We start from the raw sequence: 17562 nt of genomic DNA, 5'->3' as shown, positions 1-17562 counted from the left end.
TTCAACCAAGTCCAACTTTCCCTTGTCCAAATATTCTTGCCGATATAAATTTTGTCAAGATTATTTTTTTCTCATCATTTGTTGGTCAAATATATTTGACAATAAGCCACAATGTTTTTTTTTATTATTTTATTTATTTATCTATTTATTGAGATGGAGTCTTGCTCTGTCACCCAGGCTGGAGTGCAGTGATACAATCTCAGCTCACTGCAACCTCTGCCTCCTGGGTTCAAGTGATTCTCCTGCCTCAGCCTCCTGAGTAGCTGAGATTACAAGCGCCTGCCATCACATCCTGCTAATTTTTGTATTTTCAGTAGAGACGGGGTTTCACCATGTTGGCCAGGCTGGTCTCGAACTCCTGACCTCATGTGATCCACCTGCCTCGGCCTCCCAAAGTGCTGGGATTACAGGCGTGAGCCACTGCGCCGGGGCTAAGTCACAATAAGTTTTGTTGCATGCGGTTGTAACTTTCAGCTTTATTTTGGGTGCATTATTGACCTGGACCTTGCATTGAATTTTTAACCAATCCACGGGGAAATCATGGGTGAGGTCTGGGGAGAGGTCATCATCCAGAAGCCCCAGAGTCACAAGGGTGGGGCCCAGATCACAGCCCCTGGTGAAACAGTGTGGCTGGTGCCTCCTACTTCACACACACCCAGCATTCCGTAACCCAGGAAACCAAACTCCCCTGGCCCCCACCTCCCAAGCTGTCACAGGCCCCATGCATGGCCCCGCTCTCTCCCATAAGGGCACCATCCGTGTGCTGTTGTGTGGGCCGAGATCCTACCTTGCCTCTGAGTGTCATAGTCTGAGAAGGTATCCCCGCCCTGTCCCCTCCAGTGTCACAGCCATGGCCCACCACCCATCCCATCTCATACACAGCCTCTCCCTGTCCTACTGGGGCTACCTGGTGGACTCCAAAATGGCCCTCTCCTCTCTCCTGCTTCAGATGTGGGCTACAGACTCAGATACTGTAGCTGAGGTACAGGTACAGGTACTCCAGGTCTCCCCTCTCTCCTGCTCTGGATGTGGGCTACAGACTCAGGTACCCCAGGTCTCCCCTATTTCCTGCTCTGGGTGTGGGCTACAGACCCAGGTACCCCAGGTCTCCCCCATTTCCTGCTCCGGGCGTGGGCTATAGACCCAGGTACTCCAGGCCCATCCACCCTGGTCACTCCAGTCACTTACTTGAGCCCCTTCGGTGGGGACACGTGCCAGTTGCGGATGTGGTTGTCTCTGAGATCGTGAATCTGGAGGCATGGACTCAGGAATGAGGGTCCCCAAGGAGGCGTGTCCTCAGCTGGGCACCCCTGATGGCTGCCTCTCAGGGATGTCTCTGGAACTGGGTGCAGGTGTCATCACTGAAGCCTGTGTAGGGGCTCTGGACCCTGGACACCCTCCTTTGGCCATCCTCTTCCTCACAGAGGTAGGTGACTCCCAAGGGGCCCCATGCAGGCCCACCTGGACCACACCCCAGCCCCCCACTGCCCTGGTTAGGGATGATCAGGAATGACCTGGTCAGGGCCTGCTGGATCGGGCCTCATGCTCATACCTGGAGAGGTGTGGCAGTGCAGTTATGGCCCTCGTGGTGCTGTGGACGGGGAGGGCAGAGCGCTTTCTCTGGGACAATCCTGGGTGTGGGAGCTGATGCATGTCACGGCCTGGGACTGGAGCTTCCATCTGGGACTGACCGAGAGCCTTGTGTGGATCTGGCCTGGGTTCTGAGGTACCTGGCCATGGGGGCAGGGTCTTTGTCTCAAACACCCTTGCCTAAGCCAGCCCCAGTGGGTGGGGGTGCAGGGAGGCCTGCCAGGGATATGGGGCAGAGGACAGGTTCAGGTTGGGCCCAGGGTGCTGAAACAAAGAGGACTGGGGCCCCAGCACCTGACCCCAACCAAAGGATACACGGGGTGGGCAGCTCCACTGGGCCTCACTTGTGGTCAGTCGTCCCCTTTGCCCCCTTGGCTGTCACCACCAGCTCTGAGCTGCTGCACAAGGGACAAGGTGCACAGGGTGGAGCTGCCCCATGGGTCCTGGGCTTGCAAGTGGGCTCAGCCCATCCTCAACTCCACAGGTGGAGCTGGCCTTGCCGGGTGGGCGGGCAGCCCTGGCACATGCACTGGCCATGTCCTGGTCCCGGGGCACAGGGCAGCTTGGGGGAGGGGACCCCACCAGAGGGAGTGCAGAGAAGTGGGAGGAACCCCTCACAGGTCCAAGTCACAGCCCCAGCAGTTCCAGGGGGCTTTGGACAACTCACCTTGCCTCGGTTTCTCCATCTGTGAAATGGGAACAGAGGCTGCTGGGAGGGCTACACTCGGTGTGCCAGGCACACAGCCCCACCCCCGTGGCTACGCTCAGTGCAGGGCTCACCCCAGTCTCAGGAGATGAATCAGGCAGGACATGCAAAGCAGTAGGGGCGGGAAGACAGGGGCACGGTGGGCGGGGCCACCTGGGGAGCCTGTGGGAGCCCACAAGCCCCAGGAGCAGACCCAAGGTGGCCCTGTGCTGCAGCCTTCAGGGTCCCCAGCAGGGCCCAGCATAAGGGGCTGGGGGGCAGGAGGGAGGCTGGCCTGGCTGCGGAGGGGTGGGAAGGGAGGCTGGCCTGGCTGTGGTGAGGGTCCGGAGGAGGCTGGCCCAGCTGTGGTGGGGAGGAGGGAGGCTGGCCCGGCTTTGGGGCGGTGGGGCAGGCGGTGAAACGAGGGAGGCTGGCCCAGCTGTGGTGGGGAGGACGGAAGCTGGCCCGGCTTCGGGGCTGTGGGGAGGGCGGTGAAAGGAGGGAGGCTGGCCCAGCTGTGGACGGGGAGGGCCTCACAGGGAGCAGACAGTGCCCCTCTTCCCAGGGCCTTTCCAGTTTGCCAGCCTGTATCTGAGGGGGGTGAGACTGCAGGTCCTGGGGGGACAAAGACCACCATGCCACTTGAGGAGGCCTGCATGGCCTCGGGGGAAGACCCCCGAGGGTGGGAGGTGTGTCACAGGAAGTGAGTTCTGTCCCCATGGATGGTGCAGGACCTGGTGAACCCCAGAGACCGCCTGCCTTCCTAACACAATGAGAGAAAAGCCTGGGGGATCCTGGGGAGGCATCTGAGCCCGCCCCCAAGGCCAGGCTCTCCCCACTTCCCCGCAAAGAATCGCCCCATGCAGCGTGGCCCCCCAGCAGAAACCAGGTCTCCTCCTGCCCCTCATCCCTGTTGGTCAGAGGCACAGCTGGGCAGCTGGCAGCCAGACCCGGGTCAGGGCAGAAGTTAAAGCGCTGGGCTGGGCAGAGGCCTGGGGGGGTGGGGGTGTGGTTGCAGGGACAGGAGTGTCCGCACTAGACTAGGGCTGCGGTCGGGGCTCCCCCAACTATTCCATGGAGTTGGTGGGTGAGGCAGGGGTTGCAGAAGTGGGAATTGCAGAATTGGGAAGAAGAAAGCCTCCAGGACGCCTCGACAGAGGAGAGCAGGAGGCTCCCAGATCTCTCTGTGAGGAGGCATTGGTGAGATTTAAAGCAAAGAAAAATCAAGAAACCCACAGGCAGGGATGACTTAAAACTTAAAAACCTTACCTCACCAGGGATTTAAAGGCCAAGAGCAACCGAGACCCTCCAGTGGCAGATGCGCGGGTGCAGTGGGGCTGGGAGTAGGGGAAAGAGCAGTCCAGACCCTGGACGTGGCGTGGCCTGGGATGGTACAGGGTCTGAGACTGTGGGGCACCCGACTGGCCCATGTGAGCAGGCCTCTGCCTATTGCTGCCTCAGTTTCTCAATCTGTCAAATGGGGACAGTGACCCCACACAAGGCCTGAGGGTAGCAGGGTGGAGAGCACTGGGGTGTGGCCATGGCAAGGAACCAGAAGAGGCAACGCTGGGCATTAAGCACCCCTACACATGAGCCTGCCCCCCACCCCAGATGAGTCCCTGCTGCAGTTGAGCCCCTGCTGCAGGGATGCAGGGATGCAGGGTCATGTTTTTCTCATGATTCTATGTGGTCTTTTCCCAATTTTCTGTGACAGGAGAGGCACCATTTTCATATTAAAAGCCCATATATTAAAGCCAACATTCAGATGCAGTTTAGTTTATAAGTCAATGTCCTCTTACAATGTTAATGCTTTGTTTGGTAGTTTGTGTCCTCTTATTTTTACTTATAAAATACTTTTTTTTTTTTGAGACAGAGTCTCGCTCTGTCGCCCAGGCTGGAGTGCAGTGGCGCAACCTCGGCTCACTGCAAGCTCCGCCTCTCGGGTTCACGCCGTTCTCCTGCCTCAGCCTCCCAAGTAGCTGGGACTACAGGCACCTGCCACCACGCCTGGCTAATTTTTTGTATTTTTAGTAGAGACAGGGTTTCATCATGTTGGCCAGGATGGTCTGGATCTCCTGACGTGATCTGCCTGCCTCAGCCTCCCAAAGTGCTGGGATTACAGGTGTGAGCCACTGCGCCCAGCCTAAAATACATTTTTTTACAAGGAGTAAAATGCCTCAATCGTGTTCTTAATTTTAAAAGGCTCTGCTGCACCTTTCAGGCAGGTTGGCTGATCAGAGCAAGCCCAGCCATGTCCATGAGCCACCAGACGACCTCCACCACAAACCTCTGTGCAAATGTGGTTTTCTAAACTGTGTCCCTCACAAAGATCCTCAAATCTGCCCACATCCCAGCAAATGTGGACAAACTGGGCAGAAACTCAACTCTATGATGACAGAACACAAAATAGGGGTCGATTTAAGTTGTGTGTCAAAGGCTGCTGGACACACTGTTCCTGAGGCATCTAACAGAACGGGAGCTGGGGACCGCTGGTCTAGACGGAGGCAAATCTTACAGGACCAACAGGTGGTGATGCCTGCTGTGCAGTAATGACCAATACATCAAGACAGCAGAGTTTGCAGCAGAGAAAGTGTCATGATCCCCGGACACCGAGCAAGGAGATGGGAGGGACCTTCAAATCCATCTCCCTGAGTTCTGGGCTGGGGTTTTTAAAGGGATTGTGGCGGGTGACGGACTGTAAAATGGGGTCATCAATTGGCCGGGGAAAGGGGATGAAGTCCTCAGGATGTGTACCCTGCGTTCTTTGGCACATTACCTCCTCGTGGGGTGCTTCAGACCAGCTGGGTCAGTCGCTTCATGGGTGTGCAGGACCTGTCAAATAGAAAACCTCACATTTTACTATGTTTAAGTTGTTACCTATAGAGCAGTTATGGGGACCTCTCATCTTGTGACAGGGTCTGTGTGATTCTGGGGCCACAGGCACCAAACAGCTCTGAGGAAGGAGTTGGGAGGCAGGCTGACCTCACAATGAATGCTGAGCGAGCTGCAAGCTGGGTTTGTTTTCCTTTCTCGCCTCCCTTCTTCCCTGATTAATAAAGTCTATAGGAATGGTTTCAATAATGATGTTGTGTCCACAAAGTCAACAGAAAAGGAGAAAAAGCCAGCCCTTTTTGGATCCCTATGTCCTCCAGCCATCCGGGCACACGGGGAAGGGAAGCTACCCAGCTGCAGAGCCGCGGATGAGCTGAGCGGGTGCCGCACGCGCGCGCTTAGGACCTTCAGAGAGAAACGCTCTCTAGGCGCCCAGTGGACTCCATACTTCAGGAACCCCAATTCCCACGGGGGCCTCACCGAAGGAATCACGAAATGCTCAGGGAAAGCAAGGGTCCCTGAAGAGGCGAATGCTCCAGGGAAGCGCTCCCTCCTGACAACACAGAGATTTCACTCGGGAAACGGGGGGGAACGTGGTGAAGCTCCTCTTCAAGTGGGGGACAACCCGGGAGAAGGCCCGTTGCTGAACCGAAGGCGAAGGGCGCTTCTGGGGTCTGTGAGATTCAGAAGCACGTCCGGAGTCCGTCTGAAGCCCAGTTTTGTCAGCTCAGGCCCTATCTCTGGGGGCACATTCACAAGCAGTCACGGGCGACTCAAGATGAGAGAGTTGTGCGGAATGAAGGAGTCGGCCATCGCCAGAGTAACGGGGTGGGGGTGGGAGAGGACGAGTAAGTTCTGTCTCCATAGAGACCGTGCCCGCCGAGCAGCAACATTACTAATGTTAGGCGCACCCAGACGGACAGCGAAGGTCCAGCGGGAGCCCACGAGTGAAGGTTGGCAAAGCTGCCCTGACCCGCGACCCAAAGCCCCGATCTGCCTCCCCAAAAGCCTCGTGACCCCGAGGCGCGTCCCACCTCTGGGCCTGGCGCCTAGAATATTTAGGCCAGGTAAGAGGAAGGGCTAAATTGGGGAAGGGGCCGGGGTCGCTGCCCTCACCAGTCCTGGTGGTCCAGGCACCAACCCATGGCGCCCAAGAAAAAGCGCGGGCCGAGCGCAGGGAGCCAGCCAGGTGGTGCGGCGGCCGCGGGTGCCGAGCAGCCGCTATCGGAGCGCGCGCAGTACCTGCAACGCGAACACGCGCTGCTCTCGGAGCAGCTGGACACCTGCGAGGAGAGCGTTGACCAGGTGCTGCGAGAGAACGCCTTCCTGGACCGCGAGGCGCTGCGCCTGCGCGAGGAGAACCGGCTCTACGCCAGCTACGTGAGCGCGCGCGCCCAGCGCTGCGCCAAAGCCATCGTCCGGCTGGACGAGCAGAACCGCGTGGACCTAGCGCAGATCCACTGGCAGCGGGCGGAACTGGCCTCGCTCTACCACGGGCGCGAGGACGGGGTGCGCGCGCAGCTGTTGGAGATGGAGGCGCGCGCGGCACAGATGGCACAGCAGGTGCAAGAGCTGCAGCCCTACAAGGCCAGTGAGCCCGCCCGCGGCCGGGGTGAGGCGGGGCGGGGCTGGTGGCCGGGCCGGGGGCGGGGTGGGGGTGAGCTGACGGCGCCCCCGCCGCAGGTGCTGCAGCTGGAGCAGCTGGCCCGGATCCGGGCGCTGGAGCGCGAGCTGCTGCATATGCGCGTGGAGCACACGCAGCTGCTCCACCGCGTGAAGCGGCGCTTCCTGGAGGACAAGGCGGCCTTCGAGCGCGAGGCGCGTCAGCGCGTGCAGTCACTGGCGCGGCGCGCGGAGCGGGAGGCGGTGCGCGCGCTTGTGGCGCACACGCAGGCCATCAAAGCGGACAACGGACGCCTGCGGCAGGAGCTGCTGCTGCTGCTCCGCCGGACCCAGCTGCTGCACCACACGCGGCGCCAGCTGCTGGAACAGCGCGAGCAACTGCACCGCGAGCACGAGGACACGCGGGACCTGGCGCGTGTGCACGGCTGGCTGCGCAGGGGCCCCGGAGGCCCGCCGCTCTGGGAGCGGCCGGCCTTCTCCCAGCCCACCTCGCGCCCCGGGTCATTAGCCGCCCCCATAAGCCCGTCGCGCGCGGCCTCCCAGACCCCGTCTGTGGTACCGTCGCGCGCGGCCCCCCGGGCCTCGTCCGTGGTCCCGTCGCGCGAGGCTTCCCGGGTCCCCTCGTTGGTGCTATCGAGCATGGACTCCAGGGTCCCATCGCTGGCCACTTCAAAGGTGGGATCCCGGATGCCATCCCTGACCGCTTCGCGCGCAGGCTCCCGGGCCCTGTCGCTGGTGCAGTCACTCGAGGGCTCTGGGATCTCTTCGGGGTCCTCACCGAGGGTGTCCTCACAGGACACTCTCCGCTCCACGAAGTCTGGCCCCAAGCTTCTCTCTGGCCTGTCCCGGGATCGGGATCCGGCTCTTCTCCCCCCACAGTCGGAGGACAGCGTGAACGCTGAAGCTGCGGCAGAAGCCTCCCCGGGTAGAGCCTGAACCTGCAGAGAGTGAGGCCCAGGAGGCCCTAGTGTGGGCGAGTCAGGCGCGCAGGGCGCTTACGGGGATAATGCAATGGTTAATAAAGGCGTGGCCCCCAGGCGGCTCTGACACCCGCGTGCATGCTCTAGCATTTCCGGCCGGCCACTCATTCGTGCGTCCAATTTCCAAGCTGCAAGAGAGCTCAGCGCCTGCTTTCCCTGAATGCCCTTTGGGACCCCGCATCCCTGCCCTCAGTGGGGCCCTACCGCGAGCCGGCAGGCTCAGAGCAAGCCCGGGCACTGGCGGGCGCGGACGTGCGACGAAGCGGCAGCTGGCAGCTGGGCCGCTACGGTGAGGCCCGGGGGAAAAGCGTAGACTTTGTTCTCCGCGCCAAGGGGATGTCTTATGTTCAACCTACTGGGAGTTTTTCAGTAATTTTAAAACTTTGATATACTTTCCAACTTAGAGAAAGTTGCAAAAATAGCACAGGGACCGCCATGGACCCTTTATCCGGATGCCCGGCCGCTGACGCTGCCCGTGAATTTGGTCCGTGTGTATCGCTGTGCACGAGCGTTGCTTCGGAACCGTTTGAGATGCGGTTGGAGACGCTGGCCCCGGAGCCCCGAAGTACTTTCGTGTGTATTTCCTGAACAGAGGGATGTTCTCCTACGATGCTTTAGTGCAGTGATCAGAACCAGGACATTTACTGTGGAGGAATATTATCCCCATCGTCGCTCACATCACAACTTTGTCACCCGTCCCAAGTGTTTCTGTGGCTGTCCCCATCTTCCAGGGTCACGTGTTGCATTTAGTTGTCGCGTCTGGATGTGTACAGGCGGTTATTAAAATGCCCCTCCGTGGAGGGTCAGCTCTCCGGGCTGCGCGGGACGCCCGCCCAGCTCGCGCTCAACCTTCCTCGTGGCCGCGACGCGACCAGCGAGTGCCCAGGGCTAGAGCGGCGCCGCGCTTCCGGTTCGGGAGGCGTGGATTCCGGGGGTGCGTGGAGGCGGCTGCGGCTCTGCGGGTTGGTGGTGGCCTCCTTTGCCCCTTGTCCCGCGGGCCGGCTCCTCCCTCTGAGCAGGTCTGTGGCGCTCAGCCCGGGCTTCCCTCTCCCCGGGGCCCTGAGTTCCCTTGTTGGGGTCTCAAGTGGGTGCCCCCAGTCCCCCCCAGCACCTCCCGGGGCCTGGCCCTGGTGCTCCTCCCAGGAGCTTGAGGACCCCCAGGGACCAGGGTGGGCCCACCTGAGCCATCTCTGTCCCCTCACGAGGAGCTGCCAACGCTGGGGCTCTGCGCCCGAGGCGGGCGGGCAGGGAGGTGGGTGCAGCTGCTGCGAGGCGGGCAGCTTCTCCGGCTTGCAGGGCCCCGTGCACCTCCCTACACACAGGGTCTGTGTAGCTGGGTTGTCGCTGTGTGTGTAGCTTTTTGGAGCAAGGGTGTCTGGCCCTGGGGCAAGAACTGTGTTGGGGAGGGGGACAGCTGGGCCCTAGAAAAAGTATAGGGAGCCCACTCACTCAGCCAGTCTGGAAGGTTGGTTCTTTGTGAATAAAGATCCAAACGTTAAAAACACACCTGTAAGTGGATAAATCTAGGACACTGACGACACCAAAAGCCTCTAAGTATGAGCAACAGGAGCTCCCATTCATTGCTGGTGGGAAGGCAAAATGGCACAGCCACTGGGGAAGACAGTTTGGCAGGTTCTAAACGTACTCTCACTGTACCATCCACAACAGTGCTCCTTGGCATTCGCCGAAAGGAGTTGAACATTTGTGTCCATATAAAAACCCACATATGGAGTTAGCTGGGTGTGGTGGTGCACACCTGTAATCCCAGCTACTAGGGAGGCTGAGGCACAAGAATTGCTTGAATCCGGGAAGCGGAGGTTGCAGTGAGCTGACATCTGCCACTACACTCCAGCCTGGGCAACAGAGCAAGACTCTATCTCCAAACAAACAAACAAATATCCCACACATGGATGTTTATAGAAGCTTTATTAATAATGGCCAAAACTCAAGCGGCCAGGATGTCCTTCAATAGGTGAATGGATGAACTCTGGTCCATCCAGACAATGGAATATTATTCGGTACTGAAAAGAAACCAGCTGTCAAGCCATAAAAAGACACAGAGAAAATTTAAGTGCACATTGCTAAGTGAAAGAAGCTGGTCTGAAAAGGCAGCACGCTGTATGATTCCAACTGCAACATTCTGGAAAAGGCAAAACGGGGGGGGGGGACAATAATAAGGACCAGTGGTTGCCAGGGGTTGGGGGAGGATGGGGCGAAAAGGTGAAGAAGGAGTATTTTTAGGGCAGTGGAACTACCCCATACAATACTACAATTGTGCAAACATGGTTTTTCCAAACCATGGGATCTACAACACCAAGAGTGAAGCCCTAATGTGAACCATGGGTGTTAGTTAAAAGTCACATATCAATATTGCCTGTCAGTCACAGAAGACGAGCCACACTAAGGCAAGATGTTAATAATAGGGGAAAGTGGCCGGGTGCGGTGGCTCACGCCTGTAATCCCAGCACTTCGGGAGGCCGAGGTGGGCGGATCACCTGAGGTCAGGAGTTCAAGACTAGTCTGGCCAACATGGTGAAACCCCATCTCTATTAAAAATACAAAAATTAGCCTGGCGTGGTGGTGGGCACCTGTAATTTCAGGTACTCGGGAGGCAGAGGCAGGAGAACTGCTTGAAGCTGGAGGTGGAGGTTGCAATGAGCCAAGATCGCACCACTGCCCTCCAGCCTGGGTAACAGAGTGAGACTACGTCTCAAAATAATAATAATAATAATAATAATAATAATAAATAATAATAATGGAAAGTGCCTGTGAAGGGGTATTATGGGATCTCTGTACTCTATGATCAATTTTTCAGTAAACCTAAAACTGCCCTAAAGATATAGTCTGTTAACTTTTTTTAAAAGTAAAAACATTAAGTATTGGAAGTAAATTTGGAAATAATTTGAAGACGTGGAAAGCATTTTTTAAAAAAGAAAACCCAAGGCCAGGCGTGGTGGCTCACGCCTGTAATCCCAGCACTTTGGGAGGCCAAGGAGGGTGGATTACTTGAGGCCAGGAGTTCAAGACCAGCCTGGCAAACATGGCAAAACCCCATCTCTATTTAAAAAAAAACAAAAATGTTAGCTGGGCGTGGTGGCACATGCCTGTAATCCCAGCTGTAATTGGGAGGCTGAGACAGGAGAATCACTTGAACCCAGGAGGTGGAGCTTGCAGTGAGCCAAGATCGCACCACTGTACTCCAGCCTGGGAGACAGAGTGAGACTCTGTCTCAAAATAAAATAAAATTAAAAAATAGAAAAGAAAAGAAAACTCAGGGGCATAAAAGATTTTCTGTGAAGACAGGAAATCAGTGTGAAAAACTTACAGTAAACTACACCATAAATTGGAAGACAAATGACAATCTTGGCAAAAATATTTACAACAAATAAAACAGACGAAGGACAACTCTATATGGAGCTATAAGAAAAGACCCAACAACCAACCAGAAAACACAGGAAATGACTCAAACACCAAAGACCCAACAACCAACCAGAAAACACAGGAAACAACTCGAACACCAAAGACCCAACAGCTAACCAGAAAACACAGGCAAATGACTCGAACACCAAAGACCCACCAACCAACCAGAAAACACAGGAAACGACTTGAACACCAAAGACCCACCAACCAACCAGAAAACACAGGAAACGACTTGAACACCAAAGACCCAACAACCAACCAGAAAACACAAGAAATGACTCGAACACCAAAGACCCAACAACCAACCAGAAAACACAGGAAACGACTCGAACACCAAAGACCCAACAACCAACCAGAAAACACAAGAAATGACTCGAACACCAAAGACCCAACAACCAACCAGAAAACACAGGCAATGACTTGAACACTAAAGAAGTACAAATGCCGATGCATGTCCCCAACAACCAACCAGAAAACACAGGCAAACAACTCGAACACCAAAGACCCAACAACCAACCAGAAGACACAGGCGAACGACTTGAACACCAAAGACCCAACAACCAACCAGAAGACACAGGCGAACGACTTGAACACCAAAGACCCAACAACCAACCAGAAGACACAGGCGAACGACTTGAACACCAAAGACCCAACAACCAACCAGAAGACACAGGAAACGACTCGAACACCAAAGAAGTACAAATGCCGATGCGTGTCTGAAGACAGCCATGCTGCCCAGGAAACGGGGAGGGGCAAGTCAAGCCAGTGCCAGGATGAGGAAGACCCAGAGTAAGGGGCTGTGGAGGGCACCTGTGTCATTGCAGAGCCTGGGAGTGTGGAACGCTCCTGATTTTGTTGGCTGGCTGCTGCTATTAAATCTAAAACAGCCCTGCTCTTTGACTCAGCAGATCGACCTCTAGGAATCCATTGTGTACCTTTGTTGTGGGTTGCAGAGTCCCCTGAAAAATTTACGTTCAAGCCCTAACCCCCAGTACCTCAGAACATGACTGTATTTGGAGATGAGGTTGTTGCAGATGTCATTAGCTGGGGTCATGCGGGTAGGCCCTAATCCAATGTAACTGGTGTCCTTATGAGAAGCTGGTCACATGAAGACAGAGACACAGGGAGAACGCGTGTGCCAACAGAGGCAGAGATTGGAGTGATTTTCTACATGCCAAGAACTGCCAGGAACTGCTGGCAACACTCAAAACTGGAAGAAGCAAGGGAGGATCCTTCCCCTACAGGTTTCAGAGGGAGCACAGCCCTGCTGATGCCTGGATTGTGGACATCAGGCCCCCAGAACTGAGAGAATTCATTTCTGTTGTCTGAAGCCACCTGGTCTGGGGTGTCCTGTTACAGCAGCTGCAGGAACCTGGCAAGGCCCAGGTGCACACAGACGCAAGAGCGGGGATACAGGCACGTGTGCACACAGATGTAAGAGCAAAGACATTCACTGCGGCGGAATTCACAGCACCAAAACGCTGGGATTGCAGGCTGTGTCCTTCCACAGGACACATTCATGGGACAGCATGCGGTTGCTGGAAAGAGCGCACACAGACGGAATGAAGAAGCACATGCGGGGCGCACAGGACGACTCCACACGATGAGGAGCACACACACGCAGGTTTGTGCCTACACAGGTGTTGGACAAGTATTTGTTGTGTCAACCTAAAAAGAAACTCAAGAGACAAGCTCTCCAAATAAGCGAGTTGATTTGAGAATTGCAGAGAATTGCAATTCGGGGTATTTGGCAGGCTATAGGTGTATCCAGGGGAGTTGGGGAAAAGGGGAATCTTAAAAACAAAAAGGGCCAGGCGCAGTGGCTCACGCCTGTAATCCTAGCACTTTGGGAGGCCGAGGCGGGTGGATCACCTGAGGTCAGGAGTTCAAGACCAGCCTGGCCAACATGGAGAAACCCAGTCACTACTAAAAATACAAAAATTAGCTGGGTGTGGTGGCTTGCGCCCGTAATCCCAGGTACTTGGGAGGCTGGGGCAAGAGAATCGCTTGAACTCAGGAGGCGGAAGTTGCAGTGAGCCGAGATTGCACCACTGCACTCCAGCCTGGGAGACAGAGCGAGACTCCATCTCAAAAACAACAACAACAAAAACAAGAACAAAAAAGAAGCCCACATAAGCTGTTTTCAAAGCCAAGGGTCTTTTACAGGAGTCTGTTACAGGAGCTGGAATTAGTGCGTGGGCTGAGACAGTCACTGCTGGGCAAGCGTCCGTCTGGGGTAGGCAACCCTGAGGGCGCCCTGTGGGTCCTGGAACCGTCTCCGTGCAGGAGTGTCTTGGGCTGCGTCCTGTCACAGGCCTCTGTATCTGAGGACTTCAGGGCTACCCCGACTCCATGTTGGTAGCGGCAGCTTTCACAGTGGACACACTCCACCATCAGGAAAGCTCATTCCACAGGAGTAGGGGCAGTAAGGGGGCTTTACCCTTTGTGCTGTATTTCCTGGAGAGCAGAAGGCCTGTGTGAATTGTAACTCGGAATAAACTTCACTAAAATAACGTGCACTTAGCTCTCTTTTGTAGACAAAAGTTGCCTGATGTATTGGCCAAGGGAACCCCAACTGCATTCCACCCCTTCTGGCAAGAGAACATCTCTCTTCACATCAGACCAATCAGAACCCCGGGGATCCACGGCGAGGGGATTTGGCTGTGTATGGACAGGACAGGGCAGTACTCGAGCAAGGAAGAGGACGTGAGCCTGGGTGTTCTGGGCCCCAAGTGGAAGGTCTGATCCGCTGTGCTGTGGGGCCAGACACCCAGGGCCAACCCCGGGCCACTCAGCAGGGGGTTTGCTGTGGGGAGCTTGTGCAGAGAGAGGCGAGTTCCATGCAGGCGTGGCAGGGCTTGTGTGGGGGTCTGCAGCTGGATGGTCCTTGAGAGAGGAGCCACGGGGCCAGGCGTTAGCACCCCTCCATCTACTAGTTCCTGGATGTGGCCCCAGGAAGGGGCATAACCTTGGAACAGACATCTGCGTCAGCGAAGGTCAAAGCAAAGGTGGCGGCCCCTGAGGGCTGTGGCCAGCAACACTCAGCACCTACCAGGAAGGGCAGCCGAAGGGGGATTGGAGAAGTGCATTTTCAGCCTCCCGAGTAGCTGGGACAACAGGCGTCCACCACCACCCCTGGCTAACTTTTGTATTTTTAGTAGAGATGGGGTTTTACCATGTTTGCTAGGCTGGTCTCAAGCTCCTGACCTCAAGTGATCCGCTTGCCTCAGCCTCCCAAAGTGCTGGGATTACAGGCGTGAGCCACCGCGCCCAGCCTAGGGCTGGATTTTATCTATGGGATTAAAGGGAGAGATGGAATCAGGAAGAGAGTAGGACTAGGTCTGCATCTGCACGCTGAACAGATTTGGCCAGGAGGACCTGCCCTGAAGAACAAGGCAGAAGCCATCAGTTTCGTTGAGTTGCCACAAAAGACTTGGTGTATTTCCCTTCAGACATCTCTCCTCTCCCAACCTGTAAGTCATCTGAGAGGGTCACTCCCTGTCTCTCGCCACGTGTCCAGGTGACAGACCTCAGGCCCCTTTAGGAAATCCTTAGATGCTCAGGCATGCGGCTCCAGGGCCGCGGCCAGCCGAGTTGCTGAGTAAACCCCAAGGAAGGTGATGGGCGATGGAGACCGTGTCCTACTGCTCGGCGGCCGCCGTACAGCCCACCACAGCTCCCCGGCTGCTGGATCCACCCGACATCTGTTCAGCAGTGTCCAAATACTGAAATTTTAACTAGTCACTCACTTTCCTTATTCCTTTTCAAATAAATTGTTTCCGCCCTTTCCCCTCTTTGCATGGTGGTTTTGTCATCTCCCACATCCGGAGTTGCAAAAAGGCCCTGAGGTGGCTGGGCACAGTGGCTCATCCCTGTAATTCCAGCACTTTGGGAGGCCGAGACGGGTGGATCACGAGGTCAGGAGTTCAAGACCAGCCTGGCCAAGATGGTGAAACCCCGTCTCTACTGAAAACACAAAAATCAGCTGGGCGTGGTGGCGGGTGCCTGTAATCCCAGCTACTTGGGAGGCTGAGGCAGAGAATTGCTTGAACATGGACATGGTGGTCGTGGTCCCCGGTGGAGACACTGCAGCTGGAGGTGGGGTGAGTGGACTGAGCACCTTTGAAGTAGTGTGATCAGAAGACGAGGCTGGCCGACCCCTCTGTGGAAAGGACACAGCCCTCCAGCTGTGGCAATGGGTGTGCAGGCCACAGGCTCACCTGTCCTAAGGCGGGGCTGCTCTGCCTTTGTTTGGATTGTGTGTGGTATCATGGCTCTCCTGCAGTCAGGCTGCCACACTTCCTAAGTGTGCACGTGTGGGGAGGGGAGGAGTGGGGAGTGTGAGTGATTCTGGGTGCTCAGGTGCATGACAGCTGGTCTCCCCTCATGGAGTTACCACTGTAACCGGACTCCAGGCTTCCACCATCGGCCCTCGAATTTTACATAGGATGGTTGGCCCCGGGAAAAGGAGCCTCTGAAGTTTTAAAATCCAATATGGCTCCAACATTAAGCTCACACTGGGGACCAGCTCAAAACCCACCCATTTCACATTCCCCAAAACGTTTCGTTTGGTGGGCCTGTGATTTAGCTCCCAAGAGGTCACAGATACAAACACAACGAAGCGAGCTATTAGGGCTGGACATGCACTCAGTGACGCAGCTGTCCCTCCACCCTGGCCCGGGTCAGGTTCTGCCAACTCCACACGCACACTCTTCGTTTGAAGGGTCCCAATGGGTTTGAGGACCTGTAAGACTGGTACGCACGGCGGACCCCATGAACACCCAGAACAACAGTGAGTAGAGTTTATGATACGTTGTAACTAGAATGACCCCAAATATCTTTATTTACTTGGCATTGTACTTCCCAAAGAAGAATATTGCAGCCACTGGGCCTCCCTTCAGAGTGCAGAGAGGCAGCTCCAGGAGCTGAGCCTGCTGGGATGCAACTCCTCCTCCTAGCACCATGGACTCCTTCATCTTTCAGTCAAGGCTGCCAGTGGCTACCACGTGGCCCTCCCATTCCTGGAGCTCTCAGCTGCATCCGCCACCTGCTCTCTCGACGGACTTTTTTTTTTTTGAGATGGAGTCTCACTCTGTCGCCCAGGCTGGAGTGCAGTGGCACGATCTTGGCTCACTACAACCTCCGCCTCCCAGGTTCAAGCAATTCTCCTGCCTCAGACTCCTGAGAAGCTGGGATTACAGGCGGCAGCTACCATGCCCTGCTAATCTTGGTGGACTTTACACTGGACACATGTGTGCTGAGCGCTAACACAAAGGCCAGGCAAGTGTCCCCTGGAGACAGAGGGGTGGAAGGCTAGGTCACAGGCATGGCTGTCAACGGACCCTGCTGTGCACCCATTCTGGCCGCGAAGTAGCTTCATGCATTCTCTGCCCAAGATAAATGCAGAGAAAACTCGGCTCTACAGGCTCACAGGGAGTGACGGCTGCTGGCCCCAGGAAGGAAGATGCTCCTTACGGGACACCTGCTGTGAGCCCCTTCTGTCACCCCACCCCCGCCTGGGTGGTGAGGAGGCCAACAGGGCAAGATGCAGAGCCTCCCGGCCCCTCACACCCCCATGGGCTCCTCACCACCATTCTCTCCCCAGGCCTTTTCTGTGGACCTGACCTTCTTCAGCGACCCAGGAGGCAGGAAGGGAAGCCTGAGTGTTAGAAGGAAAGACAACTAAGAGCAGCAGCCTGACCGCAGCTGAGCACGGTCGTGCTCCTCCCTGGGGAAGTGCCAAGGGAGGGACCCCCTGCTCTACCCGGAGCCCTGGAGCCCTGCTAAGCAGGGTGGAAAGCCTGCAGCCCGGGGGGTACCGCGACTGTGGCCCAACCATCCAGTGTGTGAGCCCTGGATGATGAGGCCACCAAGAGCAAGGCAGCCCGCTTGGACAACTGACCATCATCTGACGAGGCAGCGCATCACCCACGTCTCTGCTGTTCACATTTAATCCTGCACAAGAGCGTCACAAAGTGACAGCATTGTGAGGGACTAACGACCAGGCACAGGTGACCCTGGACGCGGCCAGTGGCTTCCTGCAGGGCGCTCAAAACCCAAGTCCTTATGATCCGCCGCATCTACTGCCGAGACACCAGCTGCTCCGTCCCCACCTGTGCTCAAGCACCTGAAGGCCCTTCCAACGGCGCCCGCTGGGCAGGGGACAAACCAGACACGAAACACACATGCGCTTTTACCAGCCTGGACTCTGTAAGAGAAAGGCACCCCCATATCCCCCCTGGGGAGATTTCCACTTATCCTGCAGGGCCCTCACTGCCTCACCGGGCTCTGCCAGGGCCTGCCCCGCAGGGGCAAGTGCTTTTCCTACACAGGGTCTGTGGGCCAGGACAGACCCAGAGGAGCTTCTGCTACGGGCTGAATGGTCACTCTGAAATTCCCATGTGGAAGCCCTAGGCCCGACGTGATGGTATG

The 17562-nt window shown here is 56.3% G+C and overlaps 1 protein-coding gene and 2 long non-coding RNA genes across 3 annotated transcripts, besides 1 other annotated feature; 1 reads left to right on the top strand and 2 right to left on the bottom strand.

Annotated features, from left to right (window-relative positions):
* Positions 1–461: 461 nt before the first annotated feature.
* LOC101928160 (uncharacterized) lies at positions 462–6309 on the bottom strand. The gene is made up of 6 exons (NR_134306.1): positions 6224–6309; positions 5052–5107; positions 3545–3612; positions 2258–2276; positions 1553–1730; positions 462–1342 (listed from the first exon to the last, which is right to left on the bottom strand). It is a non-coding gene; the product is annotated as an uncharacterized LOC101928160 (long non-coding RNA).
* Positions 6251–7666, top strand: CCDC166 (coiled-coil domain containing 166). Its single transcript, NM_001162914.1, has 2 exons — positions 6251–6694; positions 6791–7666. The coding sequence occupies exons 1-2, from the start codon at positions 6251–6253 to the stop codon at positions 7664–7666; spliced, it is 1320 nt and encodes a 439-aa protein (NP_001156386.1).
* Positions 14066–14566: an enhancer, noted in NCBI's record as "H3K4me1 hESC enhancer chr8:144781964-144782464 (GRCh37/hg19 assembly coordinates)". NCBI's record gives its function as "activates a minimal SCP1, AML or CMV promoter by ChIP-STARR-seq in naive H9 embryonic stem cells {active_cell/tissue: H9 hESC(naive)}" and the evidence as "EXISTENCE:reporter gene assay evidence [ECO:0000049][PMID:30033119]".
* Positions 15947–17245, bottom strand: LINC02878 (long intergenic non-protein coding RNA 2878). The gene is made up of 2 exons (NR_015445.1): positions 16719–17245; positions 15947–16421 (listed from the first exon to the last, which is right to left on the bottom strand). It is a non-coding gene; the product is annotated as a long intergenic non-protein coding RNA 2878 (long non-coding RNA).
* Between the last annotated feature and the right edge of the window lie 317 nt (positions 17246–17562).

Source organism: Homo sapiens, chromosome 8, assembly GCF_000001405.40.
Source record: "Homo sapiens chromosome 8, GRCh38.p14 Primary Assembly".
NCBI classification, from domain to species: Eukaryota; Metazoa; Chordata; class Mammalia; order Primates; family Hominidae; genus Homo; species Homo sapiens.
This window is presented reverse-complemented; position numbering and strand designations above follow the sequence as displayed.

Coding starts and splice junctions, on each gene's coding strand:
- CCDC166 (NM_001162914.1), top strand. CDS start 6,251: ATGGCGCCCAAGAAAAAGCGCGGGCCGAGCGCAGGGAGCCAGCCAGGT. Junction 6,695..6,790: donor AAGAGCTGCAGCCCTACAAG/GCCAGTGAGCCC, acceptor CCCCCGCCGCAG/GTGCTGCAGCTGGAGCAGCT.